Here is a 20,904-nt window from a genome sequence, read left to right as displayed (position 1 = left end):
AGACAAGCATAGTAAATGTAGATGCAAGTTTTATCCCTGACTTATCCGATGTTATTTGGCATCTTATACAAATGTTCTCTTATTAGAGTGGACTCAATTTTTCTTTTCTTTTTAATACTGCTATTTTTCCAGCCGCGATGTGTAATACATAATGTGAGCAGCTATTTTGTTGGCTCCATAGCAGTTTTTTGCACATGAACTATTTCACCAGTAGTAGATACTATGTATTAGCAGGGCTGCTACCAGTGTGACAGGGACAGGATGATAGCAGCCTTCTTAGTTAACAGAGACGCACAAGAGAAGTTTGAGTTGCTGGAATATTCTCAAATTATATTATGCACAAACCACACAATGTCATTTCACCACTACTGTTTCCCAACTTTGGTTCCTAGTGGCCATTTGATTGCTTGATGAATTTGAAAAAGAAATGTAGCTATGTTTTGTCAATGTAGCCAGCACCTCACTTTAGAGCTAAACTAAATTGTGGAAAACCATCATGAGGTATTAGGAAGTAGGTCTTACTGGTGACCAGAAATAGCAAAACCTGAGCCCAAAGGAAATCTTTCAGAGTATTCTGTCTCATTATTTTCAATCAGCAGCTCTTAAAATGCAACAGCCACCATTTACTCTCAAGGTGGATTATGAAGTATCCATGCTTTTAAAATTGACCTCAGAATATCTCCCTCTTTTTTTTTTTTTTTTTTTTGCTTTGCTCCTACTTAAGTAGTAGATAATCTATTATGCACTCAGGACTTAGTATAAAAGTGTTCCTTTTGGTGTGATTAATTTTTCCCTTTATAGAATCTTTAACTTTTATAATATTTGTAGAGGTTTCTAAATAAAGCAGTACCATGGTAGCCCTTTCACCTTTTTCTAGATATAACTCATTAGGTTAAGTCATTAAGTGTGATTAGTTTGTTTCTTTTTCTTTAAAACAGGATACTCAGTTGCTGCTGGGGAGTTTACTGGGGATTCTCAGCAAGGTGAGAGGCACTGTTGAGTTTAAATCACTTATAAAGCATGGGGAAATGGTAAAATGGCATATAAAGTTTTTTCTATCAATGTGATTTTATTTGCTATACCAAAGGGATATTAATGGAGTCCCAGAGTGCCTATACTTTGTAGAAAAAATACTTTGATACAGCATTTTAAGTCTGAAAGAATTTTGTAAGAATGAATATCAACTTTATAAAATCTAGTTAAGCAATAAAATATTAGGGCCATAATCCCATGTTATGAATGAAAAATATAGATGACTAAATGCCATACTGTTAGTGACAGATCAAATTTGTGAAATTAAGATCCCTTCATTTCTAGTACCTCTCATATTGGACATGTCCAAAATTACTCTCCCCAACGAACTCCAATCCAACACCCCAACCTTACTTGCTTTTTCCTCTTTTAACATACCAAAACCCCAAATAACAAAACAAACGAATCCCTATCTCCTGTATATCCCTTCTGTCCTGTCTTCTCTGCTTTGCTGTGGCTGTTGTCTACCAGGGCTGATGGACATGAAATAATGAACACAGAATACCTAATTAAATTATGATAAGTGCTAGGATAAAATTCTAAACATAGAGTAAGAAAAGCTGTGGTGTTAAGAAAACGGAGCCTGGGATGATGACGGTGGGGGGTCAGACAGACAAAGGGGCAGGGGCCAACTTCTATATTCTAAGGTGTGTAGAAAATGCGGGTGTTGAAGGACCTCAGCTTGACTGCCAGACTTTGATAGTGAAACGAGATTGGCTTCGAGCAAAGTCTGGGCTCAGCTCATGTCCGGTTTTACGGGTCATGGAAACAATTCTGGGATCTATTCAACGTGCAGGGGAGAAGACATGAAAGGTTTCAGCTGAGGAGTAAATATAATGCAATCATGCTTGTAATCTAAAAGAAAAAAAGAGAACAAATCACACTGGCTGCCTATGTAGATTTGATTGAGATGAGAGTAAGGAAGAATGGTATCACATATATCACTTTTCTCTTCATGTCTACCTCCTTGAAGGCAAGGTCTATGTATTGTTATGTATTGTTATTATTTATCTCTTTTACAAAGACTAGACCATGTGTTGCTCGTAATAGATTCATACCGGAAACAGCTTGACAGAAATAATTTGAATCTTTGGAGTCAAGATCCACGTAGGTTCAAGTTCTGACTTCACACTCTCTATTCCTTAGGCTATGACAACCTCTCTGGTTCTTATTTGCTCATCTTTAAATGACACTAATATTAACTAACTCAAAATAATGTTCTGAAGATTGCATGAGCTAATGCATGAGGAATACTTAGATACAAGGCAATAAATGGGAGCTTTCACTCAACGGGTAATATTTATTGAATGAGTCAATCATCAATCAGTATTTACCATTTTCCATCTTGTTTCATATGAACACTGACTGCATTTCACTAATGCAAGTGGTTTAATTCACAAATAATTAAGAGTAAATGGAGTTGGGAGCCAAGATGGCCGAATAGGAACAGCTCTGGTCTACAGCTCCCAGCATGAGCGACGCAGAAGATGGGTGATTTCTGCATTTCCAACTGAGCTTTGAAGAGAGTAGTGGTTCTCCCAGCACGCAGCTTGAGATCTGAGAACGGGCAGACTGCCTCCTCAAGTGGGTCCCTGACCCCTGAGTAGCCTAACTGGGAAGGACCCCCCAGTAGCGGCGGACTGACACCTCACACGGCCGGGTAGTCCTCTGAGACAAAACTTCCAGAGGAACGATCAGGCAGCAGCATCTGCGGTTCACCAATATCTGCTATTCTGCAGCCTCTGCTGCTGATACCCAGGAAAACAGGGTCTGGAGTGGACCTCTAGCAAACTCCAACAGACCTGCAGCTGAGGGTCCTGTCTGTTAGAAGGAAAACTAACAAACAGAAAGGACATCCACACCAAAAACCCATCTGTACGTCACCATCATCAAAGACCAAAGGTAGATAAAACCACAAAGATGGGAAAAAAACAGAGCAGAACAACTGCTAAAAATCAGAGCACCTCTCCTCCTCCAAAGGAACGCAGCCTCTCACCAGCAATGGAACAAAGCTGGATGGAGAATGACTTTGATGAGTTGAGAGAAGAAGGCTTCAGAAGATCAAACTACTCTGAGCTACAGGAGGAAATTCGAACCAATGGCAAAGAACGTAAAAGCTTTGGAAAAAAACTAGATGAATGGATAACTAGAATAACCAATGAAGAAAAGTCCTTAAAGGACCTGATGGAGCTGAAAACCAAGGCACGAGAGCCACGTGACAAATGCAGAAGCCTCAGTAGCCGACGCAATCAACTGGAAGAAAGGGTATCAGTGATGGAAGACAAAATGAATGAAATGAAGCAAGAAGAGAAGTTTAGAGAAAAAAGAATAAAAAGAAATGAACAAAGCCTCCAAGAAATATGGGACTATGTGAAAAGACCAAATCTACATCTGATTGGTGTGCCTGAAAGTGACAGGGAGAATAGAACCAAGTTGGAAAACACTCTGCAGGATATTACCCAGGAGAACTTCCCCAATCTATCAAGGCAGGCCAACATTCAAATTCAGGAAATACAGAGAACACCACAAAGATACTCCTCCAGAAGAGTAACTCCAAGACACATAATTATCAGATTCACCAAAGTTGAAATGAAGGAAAAATGTTAAGGGCAGCCAGAGAGAAAGGTCGGGTTACCCACAAAGGGAAGCCCATCAGACTAACAGCTAATCTCTCAGCAGAAACTCTACTAGCCAGAAGAGAGTGGGGACCAATAGTCAACATTCTTAAAGAAAAGAATTTTCAACACAGAATCTCATATCCAGGCAAACTAAGCTTCAGAAGTGAAGGAGAAATAAAATACTTTACAGACAAGCAAATGCTGAGAGATTTTGTCACCACCAGGCCTGCCCTAAAAGAGCTCCTGAAGGAAGCACTAAACATGGAAAGGAACAACCAGTACCAGCCACTGCAAAAACATGCCAAATTGTAAAGACCATCCAGGCTAGGAAGAAACTGCATCAACTAACGAGCAAAATAACCAGCTAACATCATAATGACAGGATCAAATTCACACATAAAAATATTAACTTTAAATGTAAATGGGCTAAATGCTCCAATTAAAAGACACAGACTGGCAAATCGCATAAAGAGTCAAGACCCATCAGTGTGCTGTATTCAGGAAACCCATCTCACGTGCAGAGACACACATAGGCTCAAAATAAAGGGATGGAGGAAGATCTACCAAGCAAATGGAAAACAAAAAAAGGCAGGGGTTGCAATCCTAGTCTCTGATAAAACAGACTTTAAACCAACAAAGATCAAAAGAGACAAAGAAGGCCATTACATAATGATAAAAGGATCAATTCAACAAGAAGAGCTAACTATCCTAAATATATATGCACCCAATACAGAAGCACCCAGATTCATAAAGCAAGTCCTTAGTGACCTACAAAGAGACTTAGACTCCCACACAATAATAATGGGAGACTTTAACACCCCCCTGTCAACATTAGACAGATCAAATAGACAGAAAGTTAACAAGGATACCCAGGAATTGAACTCAGCTCTGCACCAAGTGGACCTAATAGACATCTACAGAACTCTCCACCCCAAATCAACAGAATATACATTCTTTTCAGCACCACACCACACCTACTCCAAAATTGACCACATAGTTGGAAGTAAAGCACTCCTCAGCAAATGTAAAAGAACAGAAATTATAACAAACTGTCTCTCAGACCACAGTGCAATCAAACTAGAACTCAGGATTAAGAAACTCACTCAAAACTGCTCAACTACATGGAAACTGAACAACCTGCTCCTGAATGACTACTGGGTACACAACGAAATGAAGGCAGAAATAAAGATGTTCTTTGAAACCAACGAGAACAAAGACACAACATACCAGAATCTCTGGGACACATTCAAAGCAGTGTGTAGAGGGAAATTTATAGCACTAAATGCCCACAAGAGAAAGCAGGAAAGATCTAAAATTGACACCCTAACATCACAATTAAAAGAACTAGAGAAGTGAGAGCAAACACATTCAAAACCTAGCAGAAGGCAAGAAATAACTAAGATCAGAGTAGAACTGAAGGAAATAGAGACACAAAAAACTCTTCAACAAATTAATGAATCCAGGAGCTGGTTTTTTGAAAAGATCAACAAAATTGATAGACCACTAGCAAGACTAATAAAGAAGAAAAGAGAGAAGAATCAAATAGACGCAATAAAAAATGATAAAGGGGATATCACCACCGATACCACAGAAATACAAACTACCATCAGAGAATACTATAAACAACTCTATGCAAATAAACTAGACAATCTAGAAGAAATGGATAAATTCCTCAACACATACATCATCCCAAGACTAAACCAGAAAGAAGTTGAATCTCTGAATAGACCAATAACAGGCTCTGAAATTGAGGCAATAATCAATAGCTTACCAACCAAAAAAATTCCAGGACCAGATGGATTCACAGCCGAATTCTACCAGAGGTGCAAAGAGGAGCTGGTACCATTCCTTCTGAAACTATTCCAATCAATAGAAAAAGAGGGAATCCTCCCTAACTCATTTTATGAGGCCAGCATCATCCTGATACCAAAGCCAGGCAGAGACACAACAAAACAAGAGAATTTTAGACCAATATCCTTGATGAACATCGATGCAAAAATCCTCAATAAAGTACTGGCAAACCGAATCCAGCAGCACATGAAAAAGCTTATCCACCATGATCAAGTGGGCTTCATCCCTCGGATGCAAGGCTGGTTCAACATATGCAAATCAATAAATGTAATCCAACATATAAACAGAACAAAGACAAAAACCACATGATTATCTCAATAGATGCAGAAAAGGCCTTTGACAAAATTCAACAACGCTTCATGCTAAAAACTCTCAATAAATTAGGTATTGATGGGACATATCTCAAAATAATAAGAGCTATCTATGACAAACCCACAGCCAATATCATACTGAATGGACAAAAACTGGAAGCATTCCCTTTGAAAACTGGCACAAGACAGGGATGCCCTCTCTCATCACTCCTATTCAACATAGTGTTGGAAGTTCTGGCCACGGCAATCAGGCAGGAGAAGGAAATAAAGAGTATTCAATTAGGAAAAGAGGAAGTCAAATTGTCCCTGTTTGCAGATGACATGACTGTATATCTAGAAAACCCCATCGTCTCAGCCCAAAATCTCCTCAAGCTGATAAGCAACTTCAGCAAAGTCTCAGGACACAAAATCAATGTACAAAAATCACAAGCATTCTTATACACCAATAACAGACAAACAGAGAGCCAAATCATGAGTGAACTCCCATTCATAATTGCTTCAAAGAGAATAAAATACCTAGGAATCCAACTTACAAGGGATGTGAAGGACCTCTTCAAGGAGAACTACAAACCACTGCTCAATGAAATAAAAGAGGATACAAACAAATGGAAGAACATTCCATGCTCATGGGTAGGAAGAATCAATATTTTGAAAATGGCCATACTGCCCAAGGTAATTTATAGATTCAATGCCATCCCCATCAAGCTACCAATGACTTTCTTCACAGAATTGGAAAAAAACTACTTTAAAGTTCGTATGGAACCAAAAAAGAGCCGGCTTCGCCAAGTCAATCCTAAACCAAAAGAACAAAGCTGGAGGCATCACCCTACCTGACTTCAAACTATACTACAAGGCTACAGTAACCAAAACAGCATGGTACTGGTACCAAAACAGAGATATAGATCAATGGAACAGAACAGAGCCCTCAGAAATAATGCCGCATATCTACAACTATCTGATCTTTGACAAACCTGACAAAAACAAGCAATGGGGAAAGGATTCCCTATTTAATAAATGGTGCTGGGAAAACTGGCTAGCCATATGTAGAAAGCTGAAACTCATTCCCTTCCTTATACCTTATACAAAAATTAATTCAAGATGGATTAAAGACTTAAATGTTAGACCTAAAACCATAAAAACCCTAGAAGAAAACCTAGGCAATACCATCCAGGACATAGGCATGGGCAAGGACTTCATGTCTAAAACACAAAAAGCAATGGCAACAAAAGCCAAAATTGACAAATGGGATCTAATTAAACTGAAGAGCTTCTGCACAGCAAAAGAAACTACCATCAGAGTGAACAGGCAACCTAAAAAATGGGAAAAAATTTTTGCAACCTACTCATCTGACAAAGAGCTAATATCCAGAATCTACAATGAACTCAAACAAATTTATGAGAAAAAAACAAACAACCCCATCAAAAAGTGGGCGAAGGATATGAACAGACATTTCTCAAAAGAAGACATTTATGCAGCCAAAAAACACATGAAAAAATGCTCATCATCACTGGCCATCAGAGAAATGCAAATCAAAACCACAATGAGATACCATCTCACAATAGTTAGAATGGCGATCATTAACAAGTCAGGAAACAACAGGTGCTGGAGAGGATGTGGAGAAATAGGAACACTTTCACACTGTTGGTGGAACTGTAAACTAGTTCAACCATTGTGGAAGTCAGTGTGGCGATTCCTCGGGGATCTAGAACTAGAAATACCATTTGACCCAGCAATCCCATTACTGGGTATATACCCAAAGGATTATAAATCATGCTGCTATAAAGACACATGCACACCTATGTTTATTGCGGCTCTATTCACAATAGCAAAGACTTGGAACTAACCTAAATGTCCTACAATGATAGACTGGATTAAGAAAATGTGGCACATATACACCATGGAATACTATGCAGCCATAAAAAGGATGAGTTCATGTCCTTTGTAGGGACATGGATGAAACTGGAAACCATCATTCTCAGCAAACTATCACAAGGACAAAAAACCAAACACTGCATGTTCTCACTCATAGGTGGGAATTGAACAATGAGAGCACATGGACACAGGAAGGGGAGCATCACACACTGGGGACTGTTGTGGGTTGGGGGGAGGGGGGAGGGATAGCATTAGGAGATATACCTAATGCTAAATGACGAGTTAATGGGTGCAGCACACCAACATGGCACATGTATACATATGTAACAAACCTGCACATTGTGCACATGTACCCTAAAACTTAAAGTATAATAATAATAAAATGTGGAAAAAAAAAAGAGTAAATGAAATATGGTCACCTCTAGGAATCATCACAGATCCTTTCATAGTTTCATGGGAAGGTATACAAAGCAGAAAATCATAAAGTTTTGCAGTTCAGGTTGAAGATAATCAGGTTTTATTTTTTCCTTTGAAAGAACATTTTTCTTTTAGGTACAAACTAATTCATAAAGGACTTGTCCTCTCATTATGTCTTCTTCAAGGTATTAAAAGGCAGTATATTGTAACGCTTAAGAGTCCTGGACTCTGGAGCCAGACCTCTTGGGTTTAAACCCTGACCTCACTTCTTACTATCTCTGTGACCTTGGACAAGTTACCAAGCATCTTAGTGCCTCCAAATTTTTTCATTCCTAAAATAAGGATGATGAGCTAATAGTATTGTCTACCTCCTAAGATTCTTCTGAGAATTCAGTGAGTTAACTCTGTGTATCCATAAAACAGTGCAAGGCCTGATATCTAAAAAGTGCTGTTGGCTGTTACAAGAACCACTGAATTAGGAACCAAAGATAGTATTGAGTAACTAGCGCCTTGAAAAAAGGTCAAATCTAAAAATCACTAAAAATTTTACAAAGGAAACTGTAAAACATGCCAAATTATTATTTTTTTTAATGTGGCATTAGGAGTATTGTTGGACTGGGTGTGGTGACTCACACACCTGTAATTCCAGCACTTTGGAAGGCCAAGGTGGGAGAATTGCTTGAGCTCAGGAGTTCTATACCAGCCTGGGCAACACAGTGAGACCTCCTCTCAAAAATACAAAAATTAGCTGGGCATGGTGGCATGCACCTGTAGTCCCAGCTTAAGAGGCTGGGAGGCTGAGGCAGGAGGATCACTTGACCCTGTGAGGTCAAGGTTGAAGTAAGTCATCATTGCACCACTGCACTCTAGCCTTGGGTGACAGACTCAGATCTCGTCCAAAAAAAAAAAGAGTCTTGTTGGAAAGCTCTCAAGAATAGCATTCAGTTTTGACCCAAGAAAATAAATAATGATGCACAAGAGTATATTGTAGGGAAAGATGGTAGAAAACAGTAGTGATTTTCCATCAGATCTCAGAAATATCTGAAAAATGGATTGGGTTTTAAGTGTTTTGAGGATATCTAAAATAAAAGGATATTTTGTGTTTTGAGGCTATCTAAAATATCTAAAATAAAATAAAAAGTGTTTTGAGGATATCTAAACTAGTTAAAATAAAATATCTAAAATAAAATATCTGAAAATGGATTGTGTTTTAAGTGTTTTGAGGATATCTAAAATAAAAGCACTATCAAGGAACATCGCAATCAGCTCACCAGACCACTACAAATCCAGGACTGTGCATGTTCATGATTTACTTAATTAGACAACAGGGAATGAGAATTCTATTTTAAAAAACAGTGAGCACTTCAATGTCCTCTAGATGATGGGTTCTTAATATGGATCCTCACACTGCTAGGTGGGACATGCATAGGCCTCACTGGATCGGAACCCCTAAAAATTACATACAATATTTAATTGTGTATAATTTTTCTTGTGAGAGGATCCATAGCTTTCTTCCAATTTTCATACACGTTCATGACTCAAAAAAGGTTAAGAGCCTTTGTTGTCACTTTAGAGTGAGGTGTAGTGAGCTAAAACCCAAGAAAGTAATCTGTTCCTAACCAATTCCAGGAATGTAATTTGATGTGTTGGAAAGAATGTTGACTTTGCTGTCAATTTTTGACTTGTACTACTCACCAACTATGAGTTCAATGGTGATAGAACCTTTCTAAGCTGCAAATGAAGGAAATATTTTTGCTTCTCACTAGTCAGGATGCTACTCAAGTCATGTGTTCCTAGGTCAAGGATCTAAATTTTTCCTGATTATATTGATTATTAAAAACCTTCTGGCCATGTACAGTGGCTCAGGCCTGTAATCCCAGCACTCTAGGAGGCCGAAGCAGGTGGATGGCTTGAACCCAGGAGTTTGAGACCAGCCTGGGCAACATAGTGAGACCCTGTCTCTACAAAATATACAAAAACTAGCCAGGCACAGTGGCATGTACCTGTGGTCCCAGCTGTTCAGGAAGCTGAGGTAGAAGGATGGCTTGAGCCCAGGAGGTTGAGGCTGCAGTGAGCCATGATGATCATGCCACTACACTCCAGGCTGGGCAACAGAATAAGACCCTGTTTAAAAAAAAAAAAAAAAAAAAAAAAAAAAGGACCTTCTGAAGATTTCACCTTGAGTTATTGAAAAGGAAAAGTCTCCTATTTTTTCTTGCAACTGAATATTTTTTGTAGTTGAGTGACAGTTCAAACTTGCCTTAGACCCCAAGCAATTAAGCTGTCCTGATCACTTATTAAAAAATTAGGAGGATCTTTACTCAATATTACATTTAATAACTCCTTAGAGTTGTGGTCACATGAGATTGCAGACTTCACAGTTACTGGGTGGGAGACTGATACTTTAAAAACAAAATTCCCGATGTTTGTGGGATGGGAAAAGTTGTGGTTGCCATGTTTCTCAAATGGCCCAATCCTCTAGAATCTGTCCTCACCCACAGGCCTGACCCTGAAATCAGTCAACCCTATTATATCTGATTGTGGTTTGTTTTTAGTGTCAGGAGAACTTAATTTATACCAAATAAAGATTATTGAAAACTGGACAGGGTACTACCAGTTCCGTCAACTTTCCTGGCAGTCTCTCCAGATTGCTTAGTTTTTCTGAACCCTGTTTTATGATTCAAGAGCATGCTTCCCCTGCCCTCCTACTGCTGTAGATGAATCATCCACGTCCCTGTCCAAGGCTCCCCTCTCTGCTTCGCACCCATTCCCTCCCTTGACTCTGAGACGGAACCAGAACTGTAATTTTTATACTAGTACAAAAGATGTCACTATAGTAAAAGCTGGAAGAATCAGAGTAAGAAGTCTAATTTATAAATCACACGCAGACTCAAGAAGCCAGATTCATGAATTAGAGACCGAAGTACAGAGAGACTCGTAATGAAGACATAAAGTATGACAAAGTATGACAAAGTATGACTTCTGTTTTTCTGTTTTCTATTATCTGGAGAAGAAACAAAAGCTAATGGAACAGTAAACGCAAAGCCCTGGCTTCAAACTTCCAACCCTCTACATCAGCAATCCGCAACCGTTTTGGTACCAGGGACTGGTTTCACAGATGTGGGGGTGAGGGATGGTTTTGGGATGAAACTGTTTCACCTCAGATCATCAGGCATTAGTTAGATTCTCAAGAGGCGTGCAACCTAGATCCCCTGTGTGCACAGTTCACAATAGGGTTCTCACTCTGGTGAGAACATAATGCCACCGCTGATCAGACAGGAGGCAGTGCTCAGGCTGTAATGTAAGCAAGGGGAGTGTCTGTAAATACAGATGAAGCTTCGTTCTGGCTCGCCTGAGGCTCACCTCCTACTGTGTGTGTGGCCGGGCTCCCAACAGGCCACAGACAGGTGCTGGTTGATGGCCTGGGGCTTGGGGACCCCTGCTCTGTATGATAGCCACTCATTTTACAAGCACTGTCTTTACCACTTTTAGTATATGGCGTGTGTGTGTGTGTTTGTGTGTGTGAGTAATTCCCCTTCTAAATGGCTATTTTCATCCCCAGAATTGGTTGCTGGAATTCCAAGAGGAGCACAGAATTTTGGATATGTGAGTACTGAGAATGCATTACAGGAATAGGGTATTTTCTTGTATAGGTGCTCCTTGATGGAATTACATCTGAATAAACCCATCATAAATTGAAAATACTGTCAGTTGAAAACACACTTAATACACCTAATCCACCGAACATCATAGCTTACCTAACCTACCTTAAACATGCTCAGAACACCTACATTAGCCCACACTTAGGCAAAAGCCTATTTTATAATGAAGTGTTCATATCTCAAGTAAGAGCATCATATCGCATATTGCTAGTCTGGGAAAAGATCAAAACTCAAAATTCAAAGTATGATTATTACAGAATGTGTATCACTTTTGAACCATTGTCAGTTGAACCATCATAATTGAAGGACCATCTGTATACGCAAAGAAATGTTTCATTTTATGCAAATTTTAAGTCTTTTAAAACTTCCTTTATGAAGGGGTTCTTCCTCCCGATTCATGCTGCTTGCTTACGGAAAAGGAAGGAAAATAAGTCAGATTAGATTTCTTCTGATCCATGTGCAGGAGCAGCTACTTAACTGATGAGACCTAGTGCAAAATGAAAACACAGACCCCTTGTTCATAAATTATTAAAAATTTCAGGACATGAACAGCAGACCATTAAACCAAGGGTGAGACCCATCTAAGCACAGGGTCCTGTGTGACTGCACAAGTCACATACCCACAAGGCTGGTCCTACCTGTGGGTATAATCCGGGAATAATTGTGGAGGATGCCATGGTTATGATCAGCAACTTAATACGCCTCATACAATAGAAATAAAAGCAATTGTTATTTCAGTTATTTTAATGAATTGCATTATTTTATTATAAATTTAACTAATTTTAAATTTATTATTTGTTTCCATGACTGCTATAACATAGAATCACAAACTGCCTGGCTTCAAACAACATAAATTTATTCACTCACAGTTCTGGCAGCCAGAAGTCTGACATCAAATTGTGGGCAGGACAATATTCTCACCAGAGCATCTATGATAGGAGGGTTCTCTGTGCCCCCTTCCAGCCCCTGATGGTCCCTGGCATTCCTTGGCTTGTGGCAACATCCCACCAGTCTCTGCCTCCATCCTCATGTGGCCTTCTGCCCTCTCTGTCTACATGTGTCTTCTCCTCTTTTGATAAGGACATCAGTCATTGGATTTAGAGCCTACCCGGATGGTTTCATCTTGAGATCCTTAACTAATTTCATCTGCAAAGATCCTATTTCCAAATAAAGTCTTATTCTGATGTTCTGGGTAGATATGAAATTTTGGGGTGCTACTATTCAAACCCATTATTATGAAATTAGGAAAAGCAAATAAATAGATCTTCTGAAAGAAAAACATTTTAAATAAAGTTCATCTTTTACAAAAGTATCTAGAAAGCATCACGGTTGTCTAAGTAGAAGTAAAAGGAATATTTTTGCCATGTGGATAGCATTTTAAAATCTAATTTTTCTTGCAAAGAACCATAATGATCAATTTATCATAGAATAAGAACAGAAATGGATTTGGACAAAAATCCTGACTAAATCAACTAATCATCAAGTTAATTGCTCTCAGTATTCTTGAATTCAACTTTTATTTCTCCAGTTCAGATTAATAAGCATGCGTTTTTTCTGAAAGCATCCCAGACTTAACCATAAACAAAAACTTTAATCGGCTTTTTTTTTTTAAATAAGATCATTCCGTGGGCTTTCATTTTTGTTTTACATTTAGCTAACCATTTATCACACTTTACAAAAAATTTTAAATGATTCAAGTTGTAGTTTTTAAAAAAGGCTCCAATTCTATGGCAAATGGTGTAACCTGTTTAATTTCTGTGATTTCAGGTTTCCATCATTAACTCTACGGATATGACGTTTATTCAGAATTTCACGGGAGAACAGGTAGAGACATTTTAATATCAAATAAATAAAATCACTCTGGGTTACCAGTAGACTATAATATTCATATCAGTTATTCATCCATTTGACAAATATTTAATGAGCAGCTACTACGTACTGGAAACTGTCCTAGGCACCGGGGATGCAATCATGCATCAGACAGACAGATCCCATCCAGCTCTCAGGCAGCAGTGAGGTGGCAGGGGAGGGAGAGGAAGGGACAGTTTATTAACAAGCAAATAAATGTCCATGATAATTTCAGATTGTGAACCATGATTTAAAGAAAATAAAGCTGAGTGATATAAGACAGGAGGGAAGTGGCAAGGAAGCCTTTGGATGGGGTGATCAGGAGGCCTCTGAGGTGCCAATGTCTGGGCTGAGATGTGAATGACAAGACAGAGCCAACTATACCATCTTATCCAGAACCTTCCAGGCAAGGGAAGGCTAACAAGAAGGCTTTCAAACAAGAACCAGCCAGACATGTGTGAAGAGCAGAGTGAAGGCCACAGTCTCTGTAAGCAAGAGAGATGTAGGAGCTGAGGACGGAGGGGACAGGGGCTACTCATGGGAGACTGGTGGGGGAGGTGGGCGGTGTTTGGGATTAAGAATTTTTTTCTAAGAACAATGGGAAGTGGTTTCGTATTAACATGAATCTTTCAATAGTCTATAAAGGCCTGAAGGTTTTGATGTAAGATATGGGAAGAAGGTCACTGTAAAAAGGGCCTGGACTTCTGCAGCTGACAGATTAGACTTCCAGTTCCCACCGCACCGCTCATGAACTGTGTGAGACCACAGGAAAATCATCTGACCTCTTTGAGCCACTTGGCAAAATAAGAATAAAATGTTTATCTTCCAAGCTCCCTTTAAGAATGAAATAAATCAAGGATTGTAGATTACTTAGAAGATTCCCTGGCACATAACAACTCCTCAAGAAATGTTAATTCCTTTCCATCCCATTTCCTGTCTCCTGCCTTTTGATCAAACAAAAGCCACTAAATTCCCATGTGCCATTAAATCTTCTATAATTTGAGATGCATGCGAATACGTGTGCTTATGATGATCATAAACTATTGCATCTCTATTTCAGTAAGATATAGATTCAGGCCTCCATGTTTGAATGCAGGACAAATTTAAAATAAATGAATTCCTTGTGTTTGTAACTTATATGTGACTATTTACAAACAGAACTACGCACTTAATTTTAAACTAAATATGAACAAAGCTGTGGAAGTAATACATTTAAAACTAACCATGTTAATTAAATTTGAAGAGGAGAGAAAAATCGATTGCCTGGAGAAACAAATTCAGTTCACAACTGGCTTCCTTTAGACGGAAGCACCAACTCAGTATTTAAAGAAATGTGGCTCATACCTGTAATCCCAGGAGTTTGGAAGGCCAAGGCAGGAGGATCACTTGAGGCCTGGAGCTCATGACCAGCCTGGGCAACATAGTGAGACCACTGTCTCTGTTAAAAAAAAAAAAAAAAAAAAATGAAAGAAAAGAAAAAGAAACCAGCAGGTTTTAAAATAAACAAAATGATTTTGACATCTTTTTGCTGTAATTTGGGGCTTTAGTCTATTACTCTGAAATTTTCAGCGAAGCATTTTATATCTCCTGATATTCTTTTGGAAGGTTTGGAGAAATAAGACTGAGATGAGCGGGAAGTTGAATAGATATTGAACTGTTTGAAACAACTATTCCTAAGTGGTGGTAATTAATAAGTGAATGAGAATCTAGCAATGCTTCTCCTTTGCTCAGATCTGTTTACTTTTCATCATTAGAAACTTTTTAAACATTGCTAAATTTAGTCTTTCTATAACTTCCTCTCCTCAATACCACCTAGTTCTGTAATCCTGAACCTCAGAAGGTGATAAATGATGAAATTTCATAAATGATGAAATTCCTCTGAGTAAAGGCCACACACCACCACATCAAGAGAAAGAATTTCACTATCTATGTTTGGAACAGAGAAAAGAGGTGTGAGAATTGAGTTGTTACATGCCACTTGTTAACTCATGTATTCATTTTCTCTGCAAAGAGCATTTGGCACCTGGCACCTACTTTGGTCCAGACACTGCTCAGAAAGTTCAGATAGAACAGCAAACAAAACAGACCAAAGTCTCTGCCTCCTGGGGCGTGTGCTTTCTAAGGGATTGCATGTTCATTAAATGAGGACACGATGGAAGCTACGTCACTTCAAACATTGCATGGCACACTATGGAAGCAAACTGGCAACCTGAAACTATGGGTCAAATCTGGTGAGAGCATAAATCCTGAAAAGATTATAAATCCAAAAACATAGGTTTAAAAAGAAAAACTGCAGCGATAAAATGGGGAGAGGCCAGGTGCGGGGGATCACACCTGTAATCCCAGCACTTTGGGAGGCCGAGTGGGTGGATCACCTGAGGTCAGGAATTCAAGACCAGCCTGGACAACATGGTGAAACCTCATCTCTACTAAAAATAGAAAAATTAGCTGGGCATGGTGGCAGGTACCTGTAATCCCAGTTACTCAGGAGGCTGAGGCAGGAGAATTGCCTGAATCCAGGAGGTGGAGGTTGCAGTGAGCCAAGATCACACCACTGCACTCCAGCCTGGGCAACAGAGCGAGACTTCATCTCAAAAAATAAATAAATAAATAAATAAAAAAGTGGGGAGACTATGGTACACTGTGTACACTCATGGAAAAGATTTAGGAGCTTTTGTTGACTATGAGCACGATACAAATTGATACTGAGATGTGGGTTCCCCCGACATGAAAACTTTTTATGCTTCCTCTGAAGCAGGAAGCGTAAATCTTACCTAACTCTTCTCTTGTCATCAGCGCACTCACAAGTGTCATCTGTGTTTTGGTACCACATGTCATATCTCTAACACAGAGAGTTTGGATGGTGAACCAAGTGACAATATTGTCTTTTGAGACAGGGTCTCTCTCTGTCACCCAGGCTGGAGTGCAGTTGTGTAGTCTCAGATCACTGCAGCCTTGACCTCCCCAGGCTCAGGCGATCCTCCCACTTCAGCCCCACAGTTAGCTGGGACTACACGTGCCACCATGCCCTGCTAATTCTGTTTTATTTTTTGTAGGGATGAGGTCTCACCATATTGCCAGGGTTGGTCTTGAACCCCTGGACTCAAGTGACCCTCTTGCCTGGGCCTCCCAGAATGCTGGGATTATAGACATAAGCCACCACACCCAGCCTGAAAATATTTTCATACAACATCATATGGAATTGGAATTAGATTCCTTCTGTGAGATTCAAGATTGCAGAACTTGGTGGGATTAAGTGCTAGAAGTTATGGAAGAGCCAGATTTAGCAGTGAACATTCCGATAGCTGTGTCCACAGATTAAATGGGCTGATTGTTGAACATCCCCAGAGGATGTCCAAGCAGATGTCAGGGTTATTATGGGGAAAATTATTCACTGGGTCAGGGGTTAGACTAAATGAGGCAAAAAGACCCTGGCCACTTCGAAGAATCTATGAATTTCAATGCAAAAATGTACCACAATGAGATGAATCTTTCAGGAATAATAGAGACATGACTACAAAAATGACTTTTTGGACACAAAATGTCATCTCCTGATTTTCCTTTGCAGATGGCATCTTATTTTGGATATACCGTTGTCGTATCAGATGTTAACAGTGATGGGTAAGTTTATAGACCTCTCTCATATACAATATATTACATTCATCCATAAAGATGTTATGTTTTTCCTTCACAAAATACACCCTTCCTTATTGCCTCAACAAGATAGAGGCTCTCTTGTTCTCAACTTTTTTGGTTCAAGACAAGAAGATGCATCTATTAAATAATTCTCTGTCATCTGATTTTGTCCTTAAGGAGATTTTCCACATCTGCTGCTTCTAGAGGAGGACTATTTTATTTCGTTTTATTTTTAATTTTATAGTCTTCAGCCATTCAAAATTCATAGCCATTGAGAACATTCATCTATCTCTCTTCACTCCTAGAATTTTCCCCTAGCATGTGATACATTCACAAAACATTTGCACATAAACGGATTTTTAAGTTGCTTTAAAAATGTAACAGCCATGGAGAAGACGAAATTGTTATTTTTCAGATTACAGTAGTAAATTACAGTTGAACATGGACCAAACAGCACGGTGAATTTTGGTTGTGCTTAAGTCATTACTTCAAAAATAAATTATGATTAAACACTTCTTTGATTCACTAAAAGGACCTGACAGGTAAATTAATGAATCATTAAATTAAAAACCATTAGATTGAGATGTATCAATTATCCACCCAAAAATATTATTGGATCACACACCACGTTCCAGGCTTTGTTCTTGGTGCCCAGAATACACAGGTGAATAAGACAGATGTGGTCTCTCAGGGATCTCACATTTTCACAGAAAGCAAATATCTGAAGAATACTTACTTTGTTCTAGGCAACGGGCTAAGCACTTTAGCTATACTTTTGCTAGATATTTTATGTGACCTTTATATAGCTGTCAATGGACTTTGTGTTAATTGTATCATGGCATTTGACTGGAGATAAATTTCATACCTTTTGTACCTGCTGGGAAATATCTTTCTATTATTCTTTCATTGAACATAAACTTCTCAAACATCTACTGTGCACTAACAGGCACTGTTCTAGGTGCAGAGAAATCCATAACTTCATGAAGATTATACTAGAGTTAGGAAGGTTGCTGCTACAGACAAAAATTAAATGAGTAAAGAGTATGTTAGATGGTTATAAGTACTGTGGAGACAACGAAAACAAAAGGACCGAAAGCAACCAAGTAGATGAATATGTAAACAAATTCTGGTACATCCTGATAATTCAGTTTTATTCAGTGCTAAAAAAGAAATGAGCTATCAGGCCATGAAAACACACAGAGGGGCCGGGTGCGGTAGCTCACGCCTGTAATCCCAGCACTTTGGGAGGCTGAGGCGGGTGGATCACCTGAGGTCAGGAGGTCGAGGCCAGCCTGACCAATGTGGTGAAACCATGTCTCTACTAAAAATACAAAAAATTAGCCGGGCATGGTGGTGGGTGCCTGTAATCCCAGCTACTTGAGAGGCTGAGGCAGGATAATCCCTTGAACCCAGGAGGCAGAGGTTGCAGTGAGCCGTGATTGCACCACTGCACTCCAGCCTGGGCAACAGAGCGAGACTCTGTCTCAAACAAGAAAAAAAAAAAAAAGAAAAAAGAAAAGAAAAAACACACAAAGGAACTTTAACTGCATATTGCTAAGTGAAAGATGCCAGTCTGAAAGATCTACATGCTATATGATTCTAATTCTATGACATTCTGGAAGAGGCACCACTATGGCATCAGGAACAAGGCAGTGTTTCCCAGGGGTTCTGATGGAGGGAGTTATGAACAGGTGAAGAACAGGATTTTTAGGGCAGTGAAATGACTCTGCATGATACAGTAATAGTGGATATGTGTCCTTATATATTTGTTAAAACCCATAGAAGGTTTGATACCAAGTGTGAATTCAATGTAAACCATGGCCTTTGGTTGATAATGACGTATGAATGTAGGCTTATTGATTGGAATGAACGTGCCCCTCTGATGTGACGGTGTGGAAGGTTGCAAGTTAGGGAGAGGGTAATGGGAGAACTCTGTACTTTCTGCTCAAATTTGCTTTGAATCTAAACAATCTAAAACTGCTCTAAAAAAAAAGTCTATTAATTAAACTTGTTAAAATAGAGAGGAGAGATAGGGAGTATTTGAAGGGATACAATCCCCAACTGGGTAGATCATGAAGGTCTCAGGGTTAAGAGTCCAGCTAAGGAAACACCTAAGGGAGGTGAGGACCAGCCATGGTGATCTAAGAGGGAGGGAGGGAGGAAGGAGTGTTCCCTGTGGAAGAGCAAAAGGTGCGTATTCCCTGAGGTGGGAGCTCCAGGCATATTCAAGAACCAGCAGAGAGCTGTGGAGCGTGAACCCTGGGGAGCTGCATCATGAAGGTGTGCAGGTCACTGCATTTACTCCAAACTGCCACACACAGTGCAACACAAACTCTGCCATGGACTAGAACAAGTCCATTTCCAAGAAGGCTACAACGTCCTGTGAGCCATGGGGATTCCAGGTGAGCAGTACCAGCTCAGGCTTCGCTGTTATCAGCTGTGCTCTGTCTACCAGCTCTAGATGGTCACAGAGCCTTCTGGAACCCTACTACCATGCACCAGGGGAGGCAGGACAGTGGCTTGGAGGGCAGTGGAATGACTCTGTATGAGCAATAGCAGTGGAGGGAGATTGCAGTGCTTGCTCTCTGCATGTATTTCGAAGTTATAGTTGAATGTCAATCTTATCCTGAAAGCAGTTAATTTAAAAATAAATTGCCTTCATCTTCAGTTATCTAAGTTGTAAAAATAAAGTAGCTATTAGGACGGTCATTCAAGATTTCCAACTTAGGTGGACTGTAATTGTAATCAAAGCCTTTTAGTCATTTGGAAAGAAAATAGCTAAAGAACTTGAAGGCCAGACATAGCATGCCGTCCAGTTTTCATAACGCTTACAAAAACAAGGTTTCTTAAAAAGCTCCAAAATCTCAACATCAGGGAAAAAAAAAAAAAAATCCCACTGTGGCCTTTCAGATATGCACAGACACATTTCTTCCCACTGACGGCCACACAACAAGCACCAGGGGCTCTTCCCCTGCTGCACGGATTCATTCCATGTGTTCTCTTCCACAGGCCACTCCTGTTTTGAATCCTCAGGACTTTGCCCAAGCTTCGCCTTATGCCCTGCAGGGCACCGTCCTTCTTGGAAACATGCGCATTCTAGTCTATAGCAAAGTTTTGTGAGAATGTTTATAGTACTTTTTATTTGTCATGTTAAGGAAAAAACAAATTGTGAGAAAAGGACCTCATTGGCTTCCTGTTAATCGAAACAACATGGTAGTAACAAACACAGAACTGTTATAAAGTAATAATTTCTTCTTTCTTGAAGTTCTTAAAAATTGCTATGCATACTATTTTTTTATTACGTAGTATTTTCTGAATTCTTTAGACTGCATTGAAGGATATTTCCATTAATTTACTAATGCCGTTCATAAAGATAAGGTGCCCACAGATTCTCAGTATATCACTTGCTGTTTTTAATTACTTAGATGCTATGTAAATTCAGGGTCCTATTATATATAACTATGCTCTGGAAGTAATTGAGATTGGCCAAAGAAAGATGCCAGATAGACAACTCAAGTGAAGTCTGAAATTACAACAATGGTGATATATATAATATATTTCATAGGGTTTAAAAAATCACTTGGCTAGGTCATTGCTCATGGTTCAGAAGTGAGGACTTCCCTGCACGCACACATTTATGGGCTTGAACCAGACTCT

General features: G+C 39.4%; 1 protein-coding gene across 3 annotated transcripts in view; it reads left to right on the top strand.

The window, feature by feature from the left end:
* The window catches only part of ITGA8 (integrin subunit alpha 8), a 205,969-nt gene that overhangs the window by 47,337 nt on the left and 137,728 nt on the right, over positions 1-20,904 (top strand). For 2 of the 3 annotated variants that reach the window (NM_003638.3, XM_011519752.3), the window contains exons 8-11: positions 939-983; positions 11,664-11,707; positions 13,531-13,587; positions 17,180-17,232. In NM_003638.3, coding sequence (NP_003629.2) covers positions 939-983; positions 11,664-11,707; positions 13,531-13,587; positions 17,180-17,232 — 199 coding nt within the window. The remainder of the gene's footprint in view (positions 1-938; positions 984-11,663; positions 11,708-13,530; positions 13,588-17,179; positions 17,233-20,904) is intronic. The other variant, NM_001291494.2, reaches the window with a different exon arrangement.

The sequence above is a fragment of the Homo sapiens genome, chromosome 10, assembly GCF_000001405.40.
Source record: "Homo sapiens chromosome 10, GRCh38.p14 Primary Assembly".
Taxonomy (NCBI): domain Eukaryota; kingdom Metazoa; phylum Chordata; class Mammalia; order Primates; family Hominidae; genus Homo; species Homo sapiens.
Note: the sequence above shows the minus strand (reverse complement) of the source record. Positions and strands in the feature narration are given on the sequence as shown.